The 23,777-nt window shown below is 48.6% G+C and overlaps 1 protein-coding gene across 4 annotated transcripts in view, besides 6 other annotated features; it reads right to left on the bottom strand.

Moving 5' to 3' along the window:
- Window positions 1–21,227, bottom strand: part of BEND3 (BEN domain containing 3) — a 50,334-nt gene extending 29,107 nt beyond the window's left edge. Inside the window, exons 1-4 of one of the 4 annotated variants that reach the window (XM_011536005.4) lie at window positions 20,802–21,227; window positions 11,789–11,874; window positions 4,961–5,008; window positions 4,263–4,465 (exon numbers count right to left, since the gene is read on the bottom strand). In XM_011536005.4, the coding sequence (XP_011534307.1) occupies window positions 4,263–4,465; window positions 4,961–4,997 (240 nt within the window). In that variant the 5' untranslated portion in view covers window positions 4,998–5,008; window positions 11,789–11,874; window positions 20,802–21,227. Of the gene's footprint in view, window positions 1–4,262; window positions 4,466–4,960; window positions 5,009–11,788; window positions 11,875–19,591; window positions 20,145–20,801 lie in introns of those variants that run through there. The other 3 variants (NM_001080450.3, NM_001367314.1, XM_005267080.5) reach the window with 3 other exon arrangements.
- Window positions 11,191–11,846: an enhancer, noted in NCBI's record as "OCT4-NANOG-H3K27ac-H3K4me1 hESC enhancer chr6:107426683-107427338 (GRCh37/hg19 assembly coordinates)". NCBI's record gives its function as "activates a minimal SCP1, AML or CMV promoter by ChIP-STARR-seq in naive H9 embryonic stem cells {active_cell/tissue: H9 hESC(naive)}" and the evidence as "EXISTENCE:reporter gene assay evidence [ECO:0000049][PMID:30033119]".
- Window positions 19,941–20,850: a silencer, noted in NCBI's record as "silent region_17437". NCBI's record gives its function as "represses an Ori minimal core promoter by ATAC-STARR-seq in GM12878 lymphoblastoid cells {active_cell/tissue: GM12878}" and the evidence as "EXISTENCE:reporter gene assay evidence [ECO:0000049][PMID:35858748]".
- Window positions 20,981–21,030: a silencer, noted in NCBI's record as "silent region_17438". NCBI's record gives its function as "represses an Ori minimal core promoter by ATAC-STARR-seq in GM12878 lymphoblastoid cells {active_cell/tissue: GM12878}" and the evidence as "EXISTENCE:reporter gene assay evidence [ECO:0000049][PMID:35858748]".
- Window positions 21,071–21,120: a silencer, noted in NCBI's record as "silent region_17439". NCBI's record gives its function as "represses an Ori minimal core promoter by ATAC-STARR-seq in GM12878 lymphoblastoid cells {active_cell/tissue: GM12878}" and the evidence as "EXISTENCE:reporter gene assay evidence [ECO:0000049][PMID:35858748]".
- Window positions 21,713–22,476: an enhancer, noted in NCBI's record as "OCT4-NANOG-H3K27ac-H3K4me1 hESC enhancer chr6:107437205-107437968 (GRCh37/hg19 assembly coordinates)". NCBI's record gives its function as "activates a minimal SCP1, AML or CMV promoter by ChIP-STARR-seq in primed H9 embryonic stem cells {active_cell/tissue: H9 hESC(primed)}" and the evidence as "EXISTENCE:reporter gene assay evidence [ECO:0000049][PMID:30033119]".
- Window positions 22,477–23,242: an enhancer, noted in NCBI's record as "OCT4-NANOG-H3K27ac hESC enhancer chr6:107437969-107438734 (GRCh37/hg19 assembly coordinates)". NCBI's record gives its function as "activates a minimal SCP1, AML or CMV promoter by ChIP-STARR-seq in primed H9 embryonic stem cells {active_cell/tissue: H9 hESC(primed)}" and the evidence as "EXISTENCE:reporter gene assay evidence [ECO:0000049][PMID:30033119]".

The following is a 23,777-nucleotide window of genomic DNA, read 5'->3' on the forward strand; positions in this document are numbered from 1 at the left end:
AAAGATTCTCCACATCATATGTTGTCAGGGAAGCACAAATTAAGAGAACAACAGCCGGGCGTGGTGGCTCATGCCTGTAATCCCAGCACTTTGGAGGCTGAGGGGGGTGGATCACCTGAGGTTGGGAGTTCAAGACCAGCCTGACCAACATAGAGAAACCCCGTCTCTGCTTAAAATACAAAATTAGCTGGGCGTGGTGGTGCGTGCCTGTAATTCCAGCTACTCGGGAGGCTGAGGCAGGAGAATCGCTTGAACCCAGCAGGCAGAGGTTGTAGTGAGCTGAGATCGCGCCATTGCACTTCAGCCTGGGCAACAAGAGCAAAACTCCATCTCATAAATAAATAAATAAATAAATAAATAAATAAATAAATAAATAAAACGAACAACAAACTCCATCTCTACAAAAACTTTAAAAGTTAGCCAGGCATGGTGCTGCCATGCCTGTAGTCCCAGCTACTTGGGAGTCTGAAAGAGGAGGATCCCTTGAGCCCAGGAGTTTGAGATTACAGTGAGCTGACTATGTCACTGCCTTTTTTTTTTTTTTTTTTTTGAGACAGGGTCTCACTCTGTCACCCAGACTGGAGTGCAGTGACACAACCATGGTTCACGGCAGCCCCGACCTCCCAGGCTCAGGCGATCCTCCCACCGCAGCCTCCCGAGTAGCTGGGACTACAGGTGTGTGCCACCACGCCTGGATAATTTTTTTGTATTTTTTGTAGAGACAAGGTTTTGCCATATTGCCCAGGCTGATCTGGAACTCCTGGACTCAAGCAATCCACCTGCCTCAGCCTCCCAAGATGCAAGGATTACAGGTGTTAAACCACCACACCTAGCTGTGCCACTGCTTTTGCACTCCACCCTGGCAACAGAGAGAACCTGTCTCAAACAACAACAATAACATAAACAAAAACACAACTGCTGGGCACAGTGGCTCATGCCTGTAATCCCAACACTTTGGGAGGCTGAGGCAAGAGGATCGCTTGAGGCCAGGAGGTCAAGAATAGCCTGGGCAACATAGTGAGACCACCTTCATCTCTGCAAAAAAAAAATTTTTTTTAAACTAAACAAAGAAAAAAACCAAGATACTACCACATACCTATTAGAATGGTCAAAATCCGAACACTGACAACAGCAAATGCTTTCAAGGATGTGGAGCAAGAGGAACTTGTTAGTGGGACTGTAAAATGGTCCAGCCACTTTGGAAGGCAGTTTGGTAGTTTTTTACCAAACTAAACATAATCACACTCCTCGGTGTTTATCCAAAGGAGCTGAAAACTTATGTCCACATGAAAACCTATACATGGATGTTTATAGCAGCATTATTCATAATTGCCAAAACTTGGAAGCATCCAAGATGTCCTTTAGTAGGTAAATGAATAAATAAACTCTGGTACATCTGGGCAATAGAATATGATTCAGTGCTAAAAGAAAATGAGCTATTAAGCCATGAAAAGACATGGAGGAAACTCAAATGCATATTGCTAAGTATAATAAACCAATCTAAAAAGGCTACACATTGTATGATTCCAACTTCACGACATTCTGGAAAAGATAAAAGTATGGAGATGGTAAAGAGATCAGTGGTTGCTGGGGGTTATGTGGGAGTGAAGGATGAACAGATAGAGCATAACAGATTTTTAGGACAGCAAAACTACTCTGTATGATACTACAAATGGTATATACATTTGTCCAAACCCACAGACTATACAATAGCAAGAGTGAGCCCTAATGTAAACTACTGACTTTGGGCAATAATGTGTCAATGGGGGATCATCAGTTGTAATAAATGCATCAATCTGGTATACAATGTTGACAATGGGGGAGGTTATAAACATGCAGGGGTAAGGAAGTATATGGGAAATCTGTCTCTTTTGCTCAATTTTTCTGTAAACCTAAAACTGCTCTATAAAATAAAGTCTGTTAAAACAAAAAGAAATGAAGTACTGATACATAGATGATGAACCTTGAAAACATTATGCTAAGAAGCCAGACACATATGGCCATAGAACATATGATTACATTACATGAAATGCCTAGAATTGGCCGGGCATAGTGACTCACGCCTGTAATCCCAGCAATCTGGAAGGCCGAGGCGAGTGAATTACGTGAGGTCAGGAGTTTGAGACCAGCCTGGCCAACATAGTGAAACCCTGTCTCTACTAAAAATACAAAAATTAGCCAGGCGTGGTGGTGCCCACCTGTAATCCCAGCTACTCGGGAGGATGAGGCAGGAGAATCGCTTGAACAAGGAGACAGAGGCTGCAGTGAGCTGAGCTCATGACACTGCACTCCAAGCCTGGGCCACACAGCGAGACTCCATCCATCCATCAATCAATCAATCAATTAAAAATAAAAATGAAATGCCCACAATAGGCAAATCCTTAGAAAGTACATTAGTGATTGTCAGTAGCTGGAAAAGTAGGGAATGAGGAGCTACTGCTAATGGGCAGGGACTCTTTGTAAGGTTATAAAAATGTCCTAAAATAGCATAACTCTGGGAATATACTAAAAACCATTAAACTAGGGCTGAGCGCGGTGACTCATGCTTGTAATCCCAGCACTTTGGGAGGCCAAGACAGGCAGACCACTTGAGGTCTGGAGTTTGAGACCAGCCTGGACCAACACTGCAGATGTTGCAGTGAGCTGAGATTGCGCCACTGCATTCCAGCCTGGGCGACAGAGCGAGACCCTGTCTCAGACAAAAACAAACAAACAAACAAACAAAAACATTAAATTATATAACTTAAATTGGTGAAAGGTATAGTATGTGAATTATATCTTAATAAAGTTGTTTTGGGCCTGATGCAGTGGCTCACACCTGTAATCCGAACACTTTGGGAGGCTGAGGCAGGCGGATCACCTGAGGTCAGGAGATTGAGACCAGCCTGACCAACATGAAGAAACCCTGTCTCTACTAAAAATACAAAAATTAGCCGGGCGTGGTGGCACACGCTTATAATCCCAGCTACTCGGGAGGCTGAGGCAGGAGAATTGCTTGAACCCAGGAGGCGGAGGTTGCGGTAAGCCAAGATCGCGCCATTGCACTCCAGCCTGGGCAACAAGAGTGAAACTCTGTCTCAAAGATGAAAAAAAAAAAATTAAAGCCCAAATAAATTAGAGAAACAAGTTGTTTAAAAAAGAAAAGCCATTCAGACCAGAATAAAGAGTTAGAAAAAAAAAACCCTGAATAAATAAAATAGTAAATAAAAGTATCACTCATGGCCAGGCACAGTGGCTCACACCTGTAATCCCAGCACTTTGGGAGGCCAAGGCAGGCAGATCACCTGAGGTCGGGAGTTCAAGACCAGCTTGGCCAACATGGAGAAACCCTGTATCTACTAAAAATACAAAATTAGCTGGGCATGGTGGCGCATGCCTGTAATCTCAGCTTCTCGGGAGGCTGAGGTAGGAGAATCGCTTGAACCTAGGAGGCAGAGGTTGCTGTGAGCTGAGATTGCGCCACTGCACTCCAGCCTGGGCAAGAACAGCAAAACTCCGTCTCAAAAAAAAAAAAAAAAAAAAAAAAACCCCAACAAACCTATCACTCAGTGTTCCATGATGTGGAATGTAGGTCCTCACTATAAACATGTATATTTAAATCTTGGTTAAAATCTTAGTCTCATCATTATGCAAATTAAAGCCTAACCAAATCCCTAAAATGTATAACTTCCTAATTTGTTTGGATCTGCCCTAACATCCAACAGGGGAGAGTTAAAACAAACCAATTAAACAAAGAGTTGGCTGTGCACTATGGCTCACGCCTGTAATCCCAGCACTTTGGGAGGCCAAGTCAGGAGGATCACTTGAGGCCAGGAGTTCAAGACCAGCCTGGGCAACATAGTGAGATCCAGTCTCTATTTAAATAAGTGAATGATAGATTTAATTTAGGAAAAGACCTGACCTCCAGCTAATGCCCCACTTTTGCAAGAATCAGCTACTATGTCAAGTGTGGTAGGCTTACGTTAACCGTCCTCACTATCAGCAAGCTCCTGCTTTCCCCCACAAAGCACAGCAAAATAACGCAAAAGCAGCTGCAATGTGAAGGCTCCCTTTACCCACCAGGAATCCCAACACAAACAAGAATTCCAGTTAAAGACAGACACTTTCGAGAAACTGAAGCCAGAGATGGGATAGCTTAAATGAAACCTTCCCATGCCCAAGGGTTCAGCAGTTGCCAGGATGCCCAAAACAAGAGGGAGATTCAGCATGGAATCAGAGAGGGTTAGAGCCCAAGCAAAGAGTGACAGCAGCTAGGCCCTCACCTCGGGGATCAGCCGCCTCCTCTTCACGCCGGGGACAGAGTCTAGCAGGCCATCGCTGACCAGCTGCTTTCGTTTGCTGGAGTCCTGCAGGGCAGTGAGGACGCTGTCCACAGAGTGCTTCTCAGAAGTCCTGGAATTCACGGAGCAGTCCAGAGCAGCATCTTCAGCCTCTGTCTCCACTTTCACAGTGATACTTTTTAGAACTGTGTCAGAGAAGAAATAGGGCTCAGTGGGAAAAACCAGGGCTGCTCAGAGATCAGCAGGGTTCTCTGAGCAGCAGGGTGTCTGTGGGCCGCCCTTTGACACCAGTGCTGAGATAATGATGTCTAGTTGTAACAAACCTGAGCTTTCCAACGATGCAATCTTTATCTCACCGCACTAGTGCTGTACAATAAAGCCATGTTCCAAGAGCATTTAGTTCAAATTGGTTTAAACATCTTTTTTTGGGGGGGAAGACAGTGGAAGGAGAGACATAAAATATTATCTTTTTGTGCTTTAAAAAAGTAATTTTTAAAAAGTGACACAAGGTGCTTATAACAAGTGTGTGGGTGGAGGGGGATGGGAACCGGGGAACAAGTGTGTGGGTGGAGGGGACTTTTCACTATATAACTTTGTATATTTTTGGACCATGTGAATGTATGACCTGATCAAAAGTATTCAGTTAAAAACATTTTTCAAAAAGGGCATTTTTTTTTTACCTTCTTCTACATCTTCGGTGAATTCAGTTGAGTTCATCTTCTATTCCGCTAAATAAAAAGACAAAGACAATGTGTTGACTTATTGCTTGATTTATTTCTTAATTTTCTCTACCCACAGAAAATCCTCTTACCCTCCCAACCCCAGCTCTAGGTAACAGAGCAGCACAGCACTGTGGAAGCTATGTGTCCTCCTAATCTTGTCTGCAGACACTCAGGAGCAGCCAGGCCTTGTGCATCCCTGCTGGGAGCTCTTCTCCAAGACTTTATGTGAGCAGAATGTGTCTTACAGCATCCACTGATAGCCACTTACTGAGCCATGGGAACATTACAAGAACAAATCAACTCTTAAAAAAGACCCCAATTTTAATTATCTCTTTTAAGTCCATGCTTATAAATTCCAGCCACAAAACAAATAGGCTGAAGGATGGGGGCCATGGATCCTGAAATCTTAGGACTTACGGTTGTCAAGAGAACTGTGCTGCCCATGACCTGAAGGTGGCTACTAGCCACACCTGGCTACCAAGGACTCAAAATGTGGCTAGTCCAATGGAGATGTGCTATAAGTGTAAAATACACACCAAATCTCAGACTTAGTAACAGAAATGCAAAATATCTCACTAGTAATTTTTTTTTTTTTAGAGGAAAGGTCTCACTCTTTTCACCCTGGCTGGAGTACAGTAGCACTATCATGGCTCATTGCAGCCTCTGATTCCTGGGCTCTAGCAATCCTCCTGCCTCAGCCTCTAGAATGGCTAGGACTACAGGTACCACATGCCGCCACCCACAGCTAATTAAAAAATTTTTTTGTAGAGATGCGGTTTCACTATGTTGACCAGGCTGCTCTTGAACTCCTCAAGCGATCCTTCCACCTTGGCCTCCCAAAGTGCTGGGATTACACATCTGAGCCACAGTGCCCAGTCCTAATAATTGCTTTATATTGATTACATGTTGAAATGATAATATTTTGGACTTACTGGGCTAAATACAATACTTTATTTCATTTATTTGTTTATGAAACGGAATCTTGCTTTGTCACCAGGCTGGAGTGCAGTGGCGCAATCTTGGCTCACTGCAACCTCCGCCTCCTGGGTTCAAGTGATTCTCCTGCCTCTGCCTCCAAGTGATTCTCCTGCCTCTGCCTCCCGAGTAGCTGGGACTACAGGCATAAGCCACCACTCCCGGCTAATTTTTTGTATTTTTAGTAGAGACAGGGTTTCATCGTGTTAGCCAGGATGGTCTCGATCTCCTGACCTCATGATCCGCCCACCTCAGCCTCCCAAAGTGCTGGGATTAGAGGTGTGAGCCATTGTGCCCAGCCTAAGCTTCATTAGAAAGGTGGGCAGTGCTCTGTTCCAGGCTGCAGGGTCTGAAGCAAAACCTGCCTGCCTCAGCTGGAATGGAACTGACACCATGAGGCAAAGCACCACTAAAACAAAACAAACAAAATTACCACTAAGTCTCTGATATCTCCGAATACCATGACAGCATGTACATAAATAGTACAAGATACAAAGGTAGTAACATTTGGAGAATATACATTGCAATCTTTAATGTTGACACTTGGGAGTTGTGATCCCCACAACTGATTAAGCTGACTACAAACACAGAGTTCTCATTTTGGTTGAGGATGAGTGGAGAGCAGGACCAAGAAGTATCTCTTAAGAAATTTCTGGCCGGGAATGGTGGCTCGTGCCTGTAATCCCAGCACTTTGGGAGGCTGGGGTGGGCGAATCACCTGGGGTCAGAAGTTCAACACCAGCCTGGCCAACATGGTGAAACCCCATCTGTACTAAAAATACAAAAATTAGCTGGGCATGGTGGCACACGCCTATAGTCCCAGCTACTTGGGAGACTGAGGCAGGAGAACTGCTTGAACCCGGGAGGCAGAGGTTGCAGTGAGCCAAGATCACACCACTATACCCCAGCCTGGGTGACAGAGTGAGACTCTGTCTCAAAAAAAAAGAAAGAAACTCTGTAAGCATGAAGCCATCTAAAATGTTCAGTGAACCATTCAAGGAGTAGCCACAGAATGGTGTGTGTTTGACATACAGTACCTGTTTTAGACAGGTGAATGGGGTGGGGATGGCAGCAAGAGGGAGAGTGTGTCTGGGTGATCCATGAGCACAATCATCACTGCAAAGGTTACTAATAATGGCAACACATACAGTGCTTATGATGTGAAGCACTATTTTTAGTTCAAGAACAGTGCACAATAGTGCAAGACAGGCACAATTCTTTTCATCCCTGTATTGCTAATTTTCAGAGGAATGAAAACCAAAATGAGATTTGAAACTGAAAATAATTCCTACTCACCAAGCCATCTCCTACCTGAAAAAACATTACACACAGGGTGATATTGACAGAAAACAAATAATAAGTCAACTTCAAGGGTCCGAGAACTATTTTACCAGAGTCAAATTTTAGCAACTCCTTCCACTGTATTTCAAGGAACTACACCTCACTTTGGATCGCCATCATCTGAGCTGGGTGTCTCTGAGTGGCTAGAAGGGCTGGACAATGCCAGGCAGAAATTCAAGACCGGATTCCCAGCCTGGTAGGAGGCCTCTCAAGGAAACACACTGCAGGTCACCTGAATGCCCCTGCCCTTGGAAACTGCCATGGTCACATAACCCATTCCTGCCAATCAAGGGGAGTTCTGAGATGCAGAACAGATGGGGCAAAACGATGGCTGTCAGAGGCGGACATACTTTACAAAACAAATTACATTTGGCAGAGAAAAGGCAGAGAGGGAGGAGACAGCGGTTGGTTTATTTGGGGAGGAAAAGGGTCATGGTGAAAGAAAAATTGCAAAGAGTCAAAGATTCTGGTAAGTGGAAAGCACTAAAAGGATGGGCAAATACTAGAACAAAACAAAACAGGCGTCGATGAGAGAACACAGCAGACAGGGCCATGGGTGGTGAGAAGGGCAGTCTATTTATCTGCCATTATATTCGCCCAACCATGTGTCTCTGGCAGGCCCATCACATAGGGAGCAGTGCAGGGCTGGAGTCCAGGCTGCCACATGGAGCCTGCCGGGAATGTGGCTTGGTGAGCAGAAAACCTATTTTCTGATTTTTTATTTTTCCTTGTTTCCAGTGGGGTTGGAAGGAGGCTATTTTCTGAACCACCACCATGTGACCCTACAGCAGGCAATTTGGCCTCTGAATTTTGAGCCCCTATAAAGTGATGAAGGAAGAGCACACATCTCAGCCACCTGCAGTGGGCAGAAACCCCAGAGGGCTCATGCAGCTGAGGTGGGAGGAAGGGGTGCTGGTGCGGCTGCCTGGGCATTCAAGACACCGAGTGCTTGTGCTTTGGAAAACACTTCCGTGTCCATTTATAGACTAGTGACAGATGCTAGGTTAGCCCAGAAGTAGCCCAGAACACAGCATGGTGGGCCCCTTCCCTCCGGGCCAGCAAATCAGCTTCACTCATTAAGAAGCTGGGGAATCTCCCATTTGCAAGGCCTGGAAACCTCGCGCCTGCCCCTGGCTTGCGCAGTGGGGAGTGAGGTGAGCATCCCCTGTAACATCTGCAGCCCACCAACTTCACACCAGGCACTGGGCTGGCCACTGCATGTGTGCCTGTGCCTCACCCTGAGCTATTTTAGTTCCAATTTCAACAAATAGAGAAACCCAGGACAGGTAACTCCTCCAGTGTCACATCACTGAGTGGCAGAACCTGGCTTCAAATCGAGTCTTTCTGTGCCTTCCCTCAGCCAGCCAGGGAGGAAATAATAGAGTCTTCATTCTTTTGTTAAGCTTCTTCTGATGAACCATGGGCCTGTTTCCAAATTTGAGTCCCTCTGTCCAACAGCACCAGGAAACCACATCTCCTTCTGCCTCCATTAGCACTCTGGAAAGTCAGTCTGCTCCGTGCGTAGAAACAGACTCCACCCCACAATACAGAAAAGCTTCTACAAGAGAGATGTGTAGGCCACTCCCTGCATCCCCAGCTGGCGCAGGGACAGCACACCAACAATGTCACAGCTGGGCAGAAAGGGGATGGGGAGCACACTGCTACCTCCATTTCCTGGTCACCTGCCCAGATGAGGGTCACAAGCTCTGCTCCTCCTGGGTGGACACCCAGCACCCAGATGCCTAGCATGCCACAGACATTCCTCTCGCCTACCTGACTATAGGCTACGTAGGCGCTGCCACAACTACCCAACCACCACAGCACCCACCTCCTAAAGGCTGCTGTGAGCATTCCCTTTGCCTCCTGGACTCTGGAGAACTTCTCATTCTGACATTCTCTCATTTTCAAAATGTTCTCATGCCTCCCACCATAAACCTCAAATTATGGGACAGTCAACACATCCACACGTTCCCCAAAATCAACTTTCTCCCCAAGGGATGTCTGTTCTATGTCCCTCAGACAGCTGAGCTAAGCCTAGGAAAAAAGAAAAAGAAAAAAGAGGCCAGGCACGGTGGCACACGCCTGTAATCCCAGGACTTTGGGAGGCCAAGGCGGGCGGATCACCTGAGGATGGGAGTTGGAGACCAGCCTGACCAACATGCAGAAACCCCATCTCTACTAAAAATACAAAATTAGCTGGGCATGGTGGCGCGTGCCTGTAATCCCAGCTACTCAGGAGGCTGAGGCAGGAGAATCGCTTGAATCCGGGAGGCGGAGGTTGTGAGGAGCCGAGATCGCGCCATTCAACGCCAGGCTAGGCAACAAGAGCGAAACTCCGTCTCAAAAAAAAAAAAAAGAAAGAAAGAAAGAAAGAAAGAAAGAAAAAACAAAGAAAAAAGAGAAGGCCGGGCGTGGTAGCTCACACCTGTAACCCCAGCACTTTGGAGGCGGGCAGATCACGAGGTCAGGAGATGGAGACCATCCTGGCTAACACGGTGAAACCCCATCTCTACTAAAAAAAATACAAAAAAAAATTAGCCAGGCGTGGTGGCGGGCGCCCATAGTCCCAGCTACTCGGGAGGCTGAGGCAGGAGAATGGCATGAACCCAGGAGGCAGAGCCTGCAGTGAGCCGAGATCGCGCCACTGCACTCCAGCCTGGGCGACAGAGCGAGACTCCGTCTCAAAAAAAAAAAAAAAAAAAGGAAGAACCACATCACAAAGAGATAGGCTGGAAAGAGTTACACACTACAGGACACTTCATCTTTTTAGTGTTCATTTTAAGAGGGAAGATACATAATGTGGCTTTTCCCCATTTTTTACCAGGTAATATAGTCATGCCTTAGTATCCTCAGGGGGTTGGTTCCAAGACTCCCAGTGACACCCAAATCCACAGATGTTCAAGTCCCTGATAAAAAATAGCATAATATTTGCATGTAACCTGTGTACATCCTCCTGTATACTTTAAATCACCTCCAGATTACTTATAATAATACAATGTAAGTGGTATATAAATAGTGGTTATAGTGTATAGTTTTTTCGTGGTGTAATTTTTTACTGGTTTTTCTTTTGGATTTTTTTTTTTTTTAAGATGGGTTCTGTCACCCAGGCTGCAGTGCAGTGGTATGATCGTGTCTTACTGCAGCCTTAACCTCCTGGACTCAAGCCATCCTCCCACCTCAGCCTCCCAAGCAGCTGGGACCACAGGCATGCGCCACCACATACAGCTAGTTTTTTATTTTGTAGAGACGGGCCTCCCTACGTTGCCCAAGCTGGTCTCAAACTCTGGGGCTCAAGCAATCCACCCACCTCGACCTCCCAAAGTGCTGGGATTAGAGGTGTGAGCCACTGTGTCCAGCTCCAGCTTCTGGAATATTTTCTACCTGCAGTTGGATGAACCTGCAGATGTGGCGGGGCTGACTGTACATGCACACAGAACAAAAATCAGCAAGCATGAAAGGATATTTGGTTAAAAAGTCCACTGTTGGCTGGGCGCAGTGGCTCACACCCGTAATCCCAGCATTTTGGGAGGCCAAGCCAGGTGGATCACGAGGTCAAGAGATGGAGCCCATCCTGGCCAACGTGGTGAAACCCCATCTCTACTAAAAATACAAAAATTAGCTGGGCGTGGAGGCACCCACCTGTAGTCCCAGCTACTCCGGAGGCTGAGGCAGGAGAATCGCTTGAACCTGGGAGACAGAGGTTGCAGTGAGCCGAGATCGCGCCACTGCACTCCAGTCTGGGAGACAGAGAAAGACTCTGTCTCAAAAAAGAAAAAAAAAAAAAAAAAGAACTGGGATGGGAGATGACATGGTCTTCTAAGCAGGGGGCGGTTGATCAGGATCACTGGCCTTTTCCCTGTCCAGCCCATAGATTTCCAAAAGGACATTCTCTAGTGAACCCATAGGCGGCTGGGAGTGGCCCGGGGTACCTTTCTATCAAGTTCTTTGAATAGTCAGTTGCTGTGGAGAGAGCAGACAGACCAGGTCTTTTGGGACAGCAGCGTGAGCCTAATCAGAGCTGCCAGAGGCCTGTGGGCCGGGGAGTCACACAGGACAAGCGGCAGGCCCAGAAATGGGAAGTACTTGGGCTTCCTGCAACCTGGAGGTTCAAATTCCAGCCAGCTGACTCCGGATTTTACCCTGCTAGATCAGAGATGTCCTCGCCACTGTGCTGAGGTGCCAGTCCAGGAAGACCTGGCCCCAGCAGCCCTGACCTCATGCCACTCAGGGGCAAATCCCCCTTACCCCTAAGAGCTGTTTCCAGATGCAAACTGAAGCAAACTCTCACTACCAGAAGATTCCCTTGAGAATGTGGGCCCCAGAACAGGAATGTGATTGGAACCTGAAACAATAGGGATGGTGGCTGTGTGGCCCCTGCCACACACAAAAGGTAAAGTGGAGAGAATATGCTCAGTCATTAACAAAACAAACTCAAGGATTTTAAAAATTTAACCAAGACCTAAACCTTACTTCAATCTTTTCACAATTGCCATATGTCTGATTTGATTTCAAGGAACTTCTCTGCTACAGGTGACATTGACTTCTAAAAATTAAACCTAGAAGAGGGGGACAGTAGTTAGTATTCATGTGGCACAGGCTTCATGTTCTAAGTGTTACATATGTCAACCCACACAGTCCCCACCAGCACTGCTTCTTGTGCAGATAGGGAACGGGGCGGGGGTGGGGTGATTTGTGCTGCCCAAGGGATGCAGCTGAGACCAGGGAGTAGGAAGGACTTCAGGAGACTCCCGGCATGAGAGCTTCATTCCAGCCTTCCAAGGAAGCTGGGACTGAGGAATGGGCCATGACCTCCCAGCTTTCTTTCCCTCTTCCTGCTAAGCTGTGAGCTGGGTGCAGGTGCATGAGCAAGTCAACAAGCCAGATGGGCCAGTCTGTGACCAAGGCAGGAATTAGTGCAGGTGACCCTCCAAAAAATGGAATTCTTTACTAAACTTTGGAGTCAGATGGAACTGCATGAAACCCTGGCTTTTAATCCAGTTTTTTCATTTTTTTTTTCCCCAGAGATGGGGGTCTTGCTCTGTTACCCAGGCAGAGTGCAGCAGTATGATCAGAGCTCACTGTAGCCTTGAACTCCTGGGCTCAGATGATTCTCCCATCTCAGCCTGTGAGTAGCTAGGACTATAGGTGCACGCCACCACACCCAGCTAATTTTTTATTTTTTGTAGAGACAGGGTCTCCAGGTGTTGCCCAAAATGGTCTCAAACTCCGGGCTTCCAGCAACCCTCCGGCCTCAGCCTCCCAAAGTGCTGGGATTTCAGATGCAAGCCACCACACCTGACCCTTAACCCAGCCCAGTTTTCAAAGAGGGCTTTTTTTTTTTTTTTTTTGAGACGGAGTCTCGCTCTGTCGCCCAGACTGGAGTGCAGTGGCACAATTTCGGCTCACTGCAACCTCTGCCTCCCGGGTTCAAGTGATACTCCTGCCCCAGCCTCCCAAGTATCTGGGATTACAGGCATGCACCACCACATCCGGCTAATTTTTGTATTTTTAGTAGAGACAGAGTTTCACCATGTTGGCCCAGCTGGTCTGGAACTCCTGACCTCAGCTGATCCACCCGCCTCGGCCTCCCAAAGTGCTGAGATTACAGGTATGAGCCACTGCACCCAGCCCAAAAAGGTTTTTAACCGAGTTAAAATATTTAGCATCTAACACCAGGCCAGCTGTTTACCTACCCATCCAAGCTGTATTCTGTAATAGGAGCTGGACACATCTACCTCACCTCAAAAAGTTTTTGTGAAAACTACAAAGGAGAAAGTGTCTGACACATAGCACTCAAAGTTACCTATTATAAAGCTTCTTTTTTTTTTTTTAAGGAAAAGATGTTTAAAGTGCATTTTATTTTTTTATTTTTTTGAGACAAAGTCTCATTCTGTCGCCCAGGCTGGAGTGCAGTGGCACAATCTTGGCTCACTGCAACCTTTGCCTCCTGGGTTCAAGCGATTCTCCTGCCTCAGCCTCCCAAGCAGCTGGGATTACAGGTGGGCACCACCATGCCTGATTAATTTCTGTATTTTCAGTAGAGACGGGGTTTTACCATGTTGGCCAGGATGGCCTTGAACTCCTGGCTTCAAAGTTCCACCTGCCTTGGCCTCCCAAAGTTCTGGGATTACAGGTGTGAGCCATCCCGCCCAGCCTAAAGTACATTTTAATAGTGAATTTTTAAGAACTGCAAATTAAATAAAATGGCTTAAAAGATTAAAAAGGTTTAGTAACTTTTCTTTCCAATGAAACATAGAAACTGGAGGGAGGGGGATGAAACCAAATAAAATGCTCTCCCTGAGGACAGGAGGAATGTTCCCATGCCATCCACTCTGGTGCCGCGGGTCTCTGGGTTCACAGGACCGGCTGGGAGCCTCAAGGGTCTCAGGACCCAGCCCCCTTGGCAGTGGCATCCTGCCCAAGGGACTTGCAGGACATGTTCGCAATTTGTTTTTATTTTTAGGCACATCTGCAAATGCAGTTTGAAAAATACCAGTCCTCACAAAACCAGGGCAATTTTCCCCAGAGTTTTTCTAAAGCTGTAATTGTAGCTGCCTTCCTTATTCAGTCAGAGCACAACCTCATCTTCCGCATGCAGCCAAGCACAGCCGCACAACCCTGCCCGCGCGCCTGTGATTTGGCGTCTTAATCTTTGGTCACTTGCGTCTTCTGAGTCTTGAGTAAATGTGCCATCTTCCTCAGCTAAGAAGTTCCACTTACGTTCTCCCCAACCTCGTGGAGGGCTACCTCCTCACATGGCTCACAGGAGACTCTGCGTATTAACCTTGGCATGCAGAAGCTGAGGCTCAAGGTGGAAGGAGGGACCGCACATTCCAGCATCCAGCCATGTGACTGACTGCACAACGGTGACTAATTTTCCTAGGAGGTATAAGCTGAGTTTCCGCTGCACTTCCCATTTTATCAAGTGTTTTATTTTGTGACCACACAAGCTGATTAGGGTTCGGGGCAGTTGGGTGTATACTGCACCCCCAATCCTAAGCAAGCCTCAGTCCTTCGCTCTGCTAGCTCCATGCTCAAACCAAAACAGCCCCTGACATACAAGAAAAGGCCAGTAAATGACTTATTCAATTGAGCAATCAATGCCCTGATACTGATGCAACTGTGTTTCACTAGTCAGAAATAACTGAAAATCAGACAAGAGGAGAGGTGGCCACAGGTAGAAAAAAAATTAAGAGGGTTGATTGATTGATTGATTTGAGATGGAGTCTCGCTCTGTTGCCCAGGATGGAGTGCAGTGGTGCGACCTCGGCTCTCTGCAACTCTGCATCCCGCGTTCAAGCAATTCTCCTGTCTCAGCCTCCCGAGTAGCTGGGACAACAGTCATGTGCCACCACACCTGGCTAATTTTTGTATTTTTCACTAGAGATGGGGTTTGGCCATGTTGGCCAGGCTGGTCTCGAACTCCTGGCCTCAAGAGATCCACCCGCCTCAGCCTCCTAAGGTGCTGGGATTACAGGTATGAGCCACCACATCCAGCCAAGAGGGCTGACTTTAAATACACGTTTCAACTTGGATTAAAAATTGGTGGGGGCGGGGGGCGGTCTGGGCGTGGTGGCTCATGCCTGTAATCCCATCACTTTGGGAGGCCGAGGTGGGAAGATCACCTGAGGTTGAGAGACCAGCCTGGCCAACATGACAAAACCCCGTCTCTACTAAAAATACAAAAATTAGCTGGGTATGGTGGCACGGGCCTGTAATCCCAGCTATTTAGGAGGCTGAGGCAAGAGAATCCTTGAACCTGGGAGATGGAGGGTCCAATGAGCTGAGATAGTGCCGTTGCACTCCAGCCTGGGTGACAGAGCAAGACTCTGTCTCAAAAAAAAAAAAAAAATCGAGGTGGGGCAGGCATAGTGGCTTACACCTGTAATCTCAGCCAAAGACAGGTTGGAACACTTGACTCCAGGAGTTTGAGACCAGCCTGGGCAATACAGTGAATCCCCATCTCTATAAAAAATACAAAAAAATTGCCGGCACGGTCGCTCACGCCTGTAGCCCCAGCACTTTGGGAGGCTGAGGCGGACGGATCACTTGCAGTCAGGAGTTCGAGACCAGCCTGGCAAACATGGAGAAACCGCGTCTCTACTAAAAATACAAAAATTAGCCAGGCGTAGTGGCGGACACCTGAAATCCCAGCTACTCAGGAGGCTGAGGCAGGAGAATTGCTTGAACCTGGGAGGCGGTGGTTGCAGTGAGCCGGGATCATGCCATTGCACTCCAGCCTGGGCAACAAGGGCAAAACTCCGTCTCAAAAAAATCAGCCAGGCATGGTGGCACAGGCCTGTAGTTCCAGCCACCTGGGAGGCTGAAGTGGGAGGATCGTTTGAGCCCAGGAGGTTGAAGCTGCAGTGAGCTGTGATCGTGCCACTGCACTCCATCCTGGGTGACAGAGTGAGACCCTGACTCAAAAAAAAAAAAAAAAAAGGAAGCTGGGCACAGTGGTGTGCACCCATAGTCCCAGCTACTCAAGAGGCTCAGGCGGAAGCATTGCTTGAGCCTAGGAGTTCAAGATCAACCTGGTCAACACAGCCAGACTCTGTCTTACAAAAACTGGAGGGAGAGCATGGTATCAGGTGACCTGCTGAGAAAACTTCAGCTCTAAAACAATAGTTTGTAAAAGTGGTTTTCATACAAAATTCACAGACTAACATGCCAAGCATTCACTGCCACTCTTAAAACAGCCCCTCTCCTGTTTAACACTCTGAGGGCTGATACTGGCATGGAGAGCTCTTAGTTTGACATGTGTGGGGAACTTGTGGCAGCTAATCCCAGAAACCACAAGAGCTCTGGGTTGAAACAATGATGTTGCAAGAAATACTGACGTATCAGAAGCAGAAGAAGAGCATTATCAAATTTGGAGAAGGAAAGAGACTGTCAGAGCAAGGTGATACAAAGCACCAAAAAAATCAGTTTTTAGCACATTTTTTTGTGTGTGACTTTCTTTTTCTTTTTGAGACAGAGTCTTGCTCTGTCACCCAGGCTGGAGTGCAGTGTGGCACGATCTTGGCTCACTGCAGCCTCCTCCTCCCAGGTTCAAGCGATTCTCCCGCTTCAGCCTCCCGAGTAGCTGGGATTACCCACCACCATACCTGGCTAATTTTTGTATTTTTAGTAGATACGAGGTTTCGCGATGTTGGCCAGGCTGGTCTGCAACTCCTGGCTTCAGGTGATCCACCCACCTCGGCCTCCCAAAATGCTGGGACTACAGGTGTGAGCCACTGCACCCAGTCATTTAAGTTTCATTTTAAAAATTTATCCCGGTCAGGCAGTGGCTCACACCTGCAATCCCAGCACTTTGGGAGGCCGACACAAGTAGATCACTTGAGCTCAGGAGTTCGAGACCAGCCTGGCCAACATGGTGAAACCCCGTATCTACTAAAAATATAAAAAATTAGCCAGGTGTGGTGGCGCATACTTGTAGGCCCAGCTACTTGAGAGGCTGAGGTGGGAGGATCGCTTGAGCCCGGGAGTCAGTGGTTGCAATGGGCCTAGACTGTGCCACTGCACTCCAGGTTGGGTGAAAGAGAAAGACCCTGTCTCAAAAATTCCCAGAGTAAAATTGACTCTCTAGGAGTGTATCATTCTATGAAAGATAACACATGTAGGCTAGGCGTGGTGGCTCACGCCTGTAATCTCAGCACTTCGGGAGGCCGAGGTGGGCAGATCACCTAAGGTCAGGAGTTTGAGACCAGCCTGGCCAACATGGTGAAACCCCGTCTCTACTAAAAATACAAAAATTAGCCGGGTATGGTAGTGCATGCCTGTGATCCCAGTTACTCGGGAGGGTGAGGCAGGAGAATCACTTGAACCCAGGAGGCGTAGGATGCACTGAGCCGAGATTGTGCCACTGCATTCTAGCCTGGGTGACAGAGTGAGACTGCATCTCAGAAAAAAAAAAAGAGAGAGATAACACATACACATCCCTATAAACACCCCTAAAAAGATACAGAATAGGTTTCCCATTCCAAAGAGTAATTCTACAATTAATTCCCCAAGCTTACCTTAGCCAATGATGGGAACAATACAATTAGGTTAGCAACCAAAACCTATCACTTAACACCAAAATTAAGCACCAGGCCAGGCGCGATGGCTTACACCTGTAATCCTAACACTTTGGGAGGCTGAGGCCGGTGGATCACTTGAGGTCAGGAGTTCAAGACCAACCTGGCCAATAAGGTGAAACCCCATCTCTACTAAAAATACAAAAATTAGATGGGTGTGGTGCCACGCACCTGTAATCCCAGTTACTTGGGAGGCTGAGGCAGGAGAATCACTTGAACCCAGGAGATGGATGTTGCAGTGGGCCGAGATCGCGCCACTGCACTCCAGCCTGGGCACCAGAGTGAGACTCCGTTTCAAAAAAAAAAAAAAAAAAAAAAAAATTAAGCACCAGGAAAAAAACACTACATCCCAGCCTCCCATATACAAACACCAAATCATTTTTGCTGGTTGGCTAGCGACCTTCATACTCTATGCTTCTACATTATACAATTTGAGGTCTTTAAACTTTTCATCATGGTGTCAATACAATTCATATAAACATGCTGTTTTCCTTCTCATTGTTTCCAGGGACTTTCTAGGCAGCGCTAAAAAGTAGCAGGTGAGACATTAATATAGGATATTACATTTTCACCTAATCAAACCTGTGTCAGGGCTCACTCCAATTTTTCTCTTTGTAATTATTGGACATTCTGCTATGCTTCTGCTCACACAGGGGTGCTTAGGAGCCAAGAAAGAACCCACAGGGAGAGGATGTAAAGAAAATGTGTCAATATGGCACCTGTTAATAGATTGTTGGGATGCTGACTGTCTCATCTGCCAGTTCCTAACCAGCCTATCGTCTTGCTGGGCATGGAGAAGGTAGGCGGAATCACATAAAACTTTCCCATTATATTAGTTCTTCAGCAAGAAGATGGCATCTCTGGTATCAACAACAACAAAAAAAAACGCTGGGCGTGGTGGTACACGTCTGTAATCCCAGCACTTTGGGAGGCCGAAGCTGGCGAATGACCTGAGGTCGGGAGTTCGAGACCAGCCTGACCAACATGCAGAAATCCCCTCTCTACTAAAAATACAAAACTAGCCGGGCATGGTGGCGCGCGCCTATAATCCCAGTTACTTGGGAGGCTGAGGCAGGAGAATCACTTGAACCCAGGAGGCAGAGGTTGCGGTGAGCCAAGATCAGACCATTGCAATCCAGCCTGGGCAACAAGAGCAAAACTCTGTCTCAAGAAAAAAAAAAAAAAAAGAAAGGCTGGGCGCGGTGGCTCACGCCTGTAATCCCAACATTTTGGGAGGCCAAGGTGAGCGGATCATGAGGTCAGGAGATTGAGACCATCCTGGCTAACACGGTGAAAGCCCGTCTCTATTAAAAATACAAAAAATTAGCCGGGAGTGGTGGCACGCGCCTGTAGTCCCAGCTACTCGGGAGGCTGTGGCAGGAAAATCCCTTGAACCTGGGAGGCGGAAGTTGCAGCGAGAAGAGATCACGCCACTGCACTACAGCCTGGTGATAGAGCGAGACTCTGTCTAAAAAAAAAAAGCACGGTGGCTCATGCCTGTGATCCCAACACTTTGGGAGGCCAGGCAGGCAGATCACCTGAGGTCCGGAAACCAGCCTGGGCAACATGGTGAAACTCCGTCTCTACTACAAATACAAACATTAGCAAGGCATGGTGGCACATGGACTGTAATCCCAGCTACTCCGTGAGGCTGAGGCAGGAAAATCGCTTGAACCCGGGAGGCAGACGTTGCAGTGAGCAGAGATCAAGCCACTGCACTCCAGCCCGGGTGACAGAGCGAGACTCCGTCTCAAAAAAAAAAAAAAAACAAAAAAAAAACTCATGTTCCATGACAGGAGGTTGATGTGACAGATTTCAAGGGCCACACAGACACCAGCTAACCCAGCAGCAGCAACTGGCGCTCTGGCTCCATCTTTCCTCTAGAATCCAAGAGGCTCTCTCCATTCATTTAGGAAATACGCACTGAACGCCTACTAAGTTATGAGACACCGGGTTAGAGGCTGGGGATGTGAAACTGTGAGGGAGATAAAAAATCTTGCCCAAGTCCCAGTACCGAGGAAAGCTTGACAGGCTCTTGTATGGTAGTATAAAGCCAATATCTAGGGATGAATGGTTTAAAAAAAAAAGAGAGAAAAACGGACTGCAAGGGTGGAAGTGGGGAGCGGGTAACAAGAGAAAGTCCTCCATCCCAGCCGTTTATATACCTGGCTACCTGAAGGACTCAGTTCCTTACCTCAGTTTCCTGCAACCGTAGCTTTCTGGCACTATGCCACGCTGCCCTGTGGCATGTTTACTATTTGTATTCAACCATTCAAAAGTTACTTTAAGGAGATGAACTGCACATTTCCAACTCTAGTGAGTAACCTTGTTCCTCCCGGCACTCTTGTCGAGTTAGCGTTTACGTGCAGAATTCTTCCAGAAAGACCACCTGAGCAATCAATAAAACTTTTATCTCTGTAAAAACACCTTGTTTAAAATAGCTACATAGGGAGACGTAGGTAAACAAGCACACAAGGGCCTCCAAATCGGTGGTGCACAGCTCACGGATGAGGCAAGGGCAAAGCATGCGTGGGAAATCACGTTTATCATAGAGAAGGAAAGGAGCGCTCACGAGGAGCGGCGAGCGCCCCAGGCTTCAGCTTTGCGGCCGGCCGGCCAGGCCTCGCGCCAGCCCGGGTGCACACCCAAGGCGCCGGGCCCGCCTCCAGCTCCTGGGCAGCGGGAACCGCGAACCGCCGTGGAACGGCCGGGAAGGGAGCGCTGCGCCCCCTGGCGGCGGGGCCCATCCCTCTCCGCTCCCGGCCGCCGCCGCCGCGGGCCGGCCTCGCTCCATTTGCAGCCTCCGGAGGCTTCGTTCCTCCGAGCGGCTGCTCCCCCGGCCTCCCGCTCGCCGCCCGGCATCTCCCTCCAGTCCCCGCCCCCTGCTCCCGCTCCGACACCCCCTTCCACACGCCGAGCAGTGCCCCGCCAAAGCCCCGCCGAGCGCGAGCGCCAAGCCGCCGCGAGTACGGCAGAGCCTTCCGGCCGCCCCGGCCGCTCCATCGCGGCGCCCGGCGGGGGTGCGGGGCCGGCGCGCGGCGCGAGTGGGGCGGGCGGCGGCGGCGGCGCGGACGGTTCCACCGCGCGAACCCCCCGCCCCCGCGCGGCGCGCGTGCTCCCCAGAACGCCATGGAGCCGCCGCGTTCCGAGCGGGCACAAAGGGGCGCGCAGCACAATGGGCGCGGCGAGCCCGTGGGCGCCCGGCGCCCGCTCCGGTCGCTCGGCCCGCGCGGGGGTGGGCGCTACTACCGGCGGGCGCGCTCGGAGCAGCCCCCCTCCGCGTCCCCTCCCCTGCTCCCGCCCCCACCCCGGCATGGATGTTGCAGCCACTCTACCGGCCGCTCGCCCCGGAGCCGCCAACGCTGCCGCCGCCGCGCGGCCGGCTTGATCCGCCCCGCACTTACCTGGGACGCGAGTTCTGTACTTTGCCGGGCGGGCCCGCGCCGAGTTTGGGCGCCACGTGGGGGGGAGGGCGCGGGGCCGGGGAGTGGGGGCCGCGCGCGGAGGGCCTGGCCAGGGCGGCCCGGGGAGGCGCTGGGGGCGGCGGGCGGGCGAGCGCCGTGTATTTTCCCCTCTCTTTGTGTGTGTCCGTGCGCTGCGCTCTCGCGTGACGTGACGGGACTCCGTGTGTCATTTCCGCACAAGGACACAGGAGCCCCCGCTGCAGTGGAACCACAACCCCTCCGCCCCCACCCCCGGCCCGCCCCTCCCCCTCAGCGGGGCACACGCGGGACCGGCGGCGGCGGCGCTCGGGCGTGAACGGCCGCGGCGGGGAGCTCGGGCGCGCACTCCCGGGACCCAGGCGGCCCGGCGCGCTCGGCCAGCGCAGTGGCTCCACGTGGGCCCGCGCTGGCTGCCCGGGGCGGGGGCGGCGGCCGCGCACCCACGGCGCGCCGGGCAGGCGCCGCGAACAATGTCCCCTGTACCCCATGTGTCCTCCCACCGCGAGTTCGTCCTCGGAAACGTGGTTTCTCAGACCCGAGAGTTTGGCCCCAAACGGCTTTTTCTACTTTTTTGCCCCTTGCGGGACGGCGACTGTGCGGAGCTTGTCCCGCCTCGCGCCCACGCCTCTCCCGCATTTTTGGCCTTTGGGCCGCAGCCCAGGCCCCCGGGGCCGGTCTTCCCGCGCCGCCACCGGCACAAAGACCTTGGGGCGCGAGGGCCCGGGTGGCTCCTGCGGCCCCGCGGGGCGGCATGGAGTCCGGCGGGACCCGGGAGAGCGACCCTGGCGCTGGGAAAAGCTGGCTCTGGCCACTCCCCCTGCACGGTGGCCGCCCTCTGTTGTGAGCCTCAGAGCTAAAATCTGCTCTTGCAACCCGAAGTTCTGGGGTGTGAGGCTGCGGAGCGAGAGCTTCGGAAGCGCCCGCGCTCACAGACACACACCCCACAAACACAAACCCACGGGCTGTCTGCGCCGAGCGCCTAAAATAGAAAAACACGAGTCACCAACTCAATAAAGGCTGATTCTGTCTACTCCTAACTCTTGGACTGTAGATTCCCAGTTGATAAATACGAAATCTACCCCTCGGGTATTTTCTCAAGTCTCAGTGGCTGGGTAGGGGGAGGGGGAGGTGCTGGGTGAGAGTCAGGGAAGCCCAATTCAACAGTTTAGCCACGTTTGTATTTTAGGCAAACAATGAGAATGTAAATTTAAGAAAAATCCTTTAATTTGCCGATCAAAGAAAGTATAAAAAGAAAAATGCAAATGATCCCATCTGCTGCTCACAGCTGACTGGCTGCAAGGGAGGACCATGTGGCACGGCCCTGCGCGGTCAGTGAATAGGTAGAATAGATTTTTAAAAGAAGGCATATGTTGGCTCCTTGCTGCCCAGTCGCGGCGAGGGTTTGAATTAACGTATAGTTTGGGTTTACCGTACCCTCCTTCAGACCACTCCAATTGGGAATTTAGTAATTATGCAAGTTCCCCCCCTTCGGGCTTGAAATCAAAAGGCACAGGGTTAAGTTTGAGGAACTACGTGGAACATTCTCGAGCTGTATTTGGATTACTGGTTTAGTGAAGTCAGTACTAATTGCTATGCAAAATTAAGCAAGCAGCCTGAAGAACCAAGCCCTGCATCCAGGGGGTGCTTTTATAGAAGAATCTATACGTGCTCAGTGTCATTGAAAACAGGATGATGAAAAGAATGGGGCCGAGATAGCAGCCCTTCAAATTCAAAAGACTTAGGTCGCCCTATCTACATTTAAAATAGGGCGGAGGGAGGAAGGGAGGAGGACTGCTTGGGGGAGAATGGTTAATTTATACATTCGCAGAAGACTGAGGGGAGGCACTTCGATTTCTGCAGAGAACTTGACTTTTACACTTGCACATTAAATAACACGTACGACACAGTACATCGCTTGACTTAGTTAACAGATACACCAGTTTTATTCTCACCTTCAATTTAATGTGACAGTTATAATTAGAATTTTTAAAGTAGAAGTTGCATTTCATTAGTTCAGTTTTCTAGGATTTCCCAGTAGAAGAGTTAGGAATAGTTAAGTAGCACTTAAGCACATTTTGCATTTAAATCACTTTGCTGTGGTGCTTTAAGAATGTAAAACGACCTTGTTAAATTTTTGGAAAGAGGACTAGATGAAACGTGTGTAGTGAGGGGATATATATTTAACCAATCTTTCACAGTGACAACTCAGGTTTTTAAGGAGAAATTAAATAATAAGACAATAGAGATAGAAATTAACATTTCTCTGTTCATATTGCTTGAAACAAAAGATTTCTGTCAAATACAATAATTGAACTGATATAGCTGACTTTTCAAAACAACTTTCAGGAAACTCAAACGGACCTTGAATATTATTGTAAAAGTATGTATCTTATATTTGCATAAATGGATCTATCTACTTAACAAAGTAAGTGGCTTGTTTCAAATAAGTTATTAATAGAAATAGAAGTCATTGCTATCCAAGAAAGGAAATCACCTTCCTTCAAATGGTTTTCTATGTGGTTTTCTTTTTTATATGGAGAAGGAAAATAACGCATAAAGGTGAAAAATGTATTGGAATAGTTGTATATAATTTTGGAAACTTCAAGACATAATAGTTTTGAAAGTGCAGTAACAGTTCATGGTTCATACGGATGTGTGTGTAAAGACCCGGAAAAATAACAACCTGGTTTTTAGAGGTCTGCTCAATTTGAAATTGCTTAATAAAAAATGCATTTTTCAAGATTTCAAATTAGAGCTGCTGCCATCGATCTAGTCAACTCATTTTCATTTGTACCTGAGTAAAATGTAGCAGGGGGAAAACTGGCTACTTGACCATATAAAACACTGAGACACTAAATGTAAAAACTCAAATGGAAAATTGCGTTATATAAAATGGGATATAAAAGAAGATTGGGATATAAAATGTAAATATATATA

The sequence above is a fragment of the Homo sapiens genome, chromosome 6 (genome assembly GCF_000001405.40).
Source record: "Homo sapiens chromosome 6, GRCh38.p14 Primary Assembly".
Classification (NCBI taxonomy): Eukaryota; Metazoa; Chordata; class Mammalia; order Primates; family Hominidae; genus Homo; species Homo sapiens.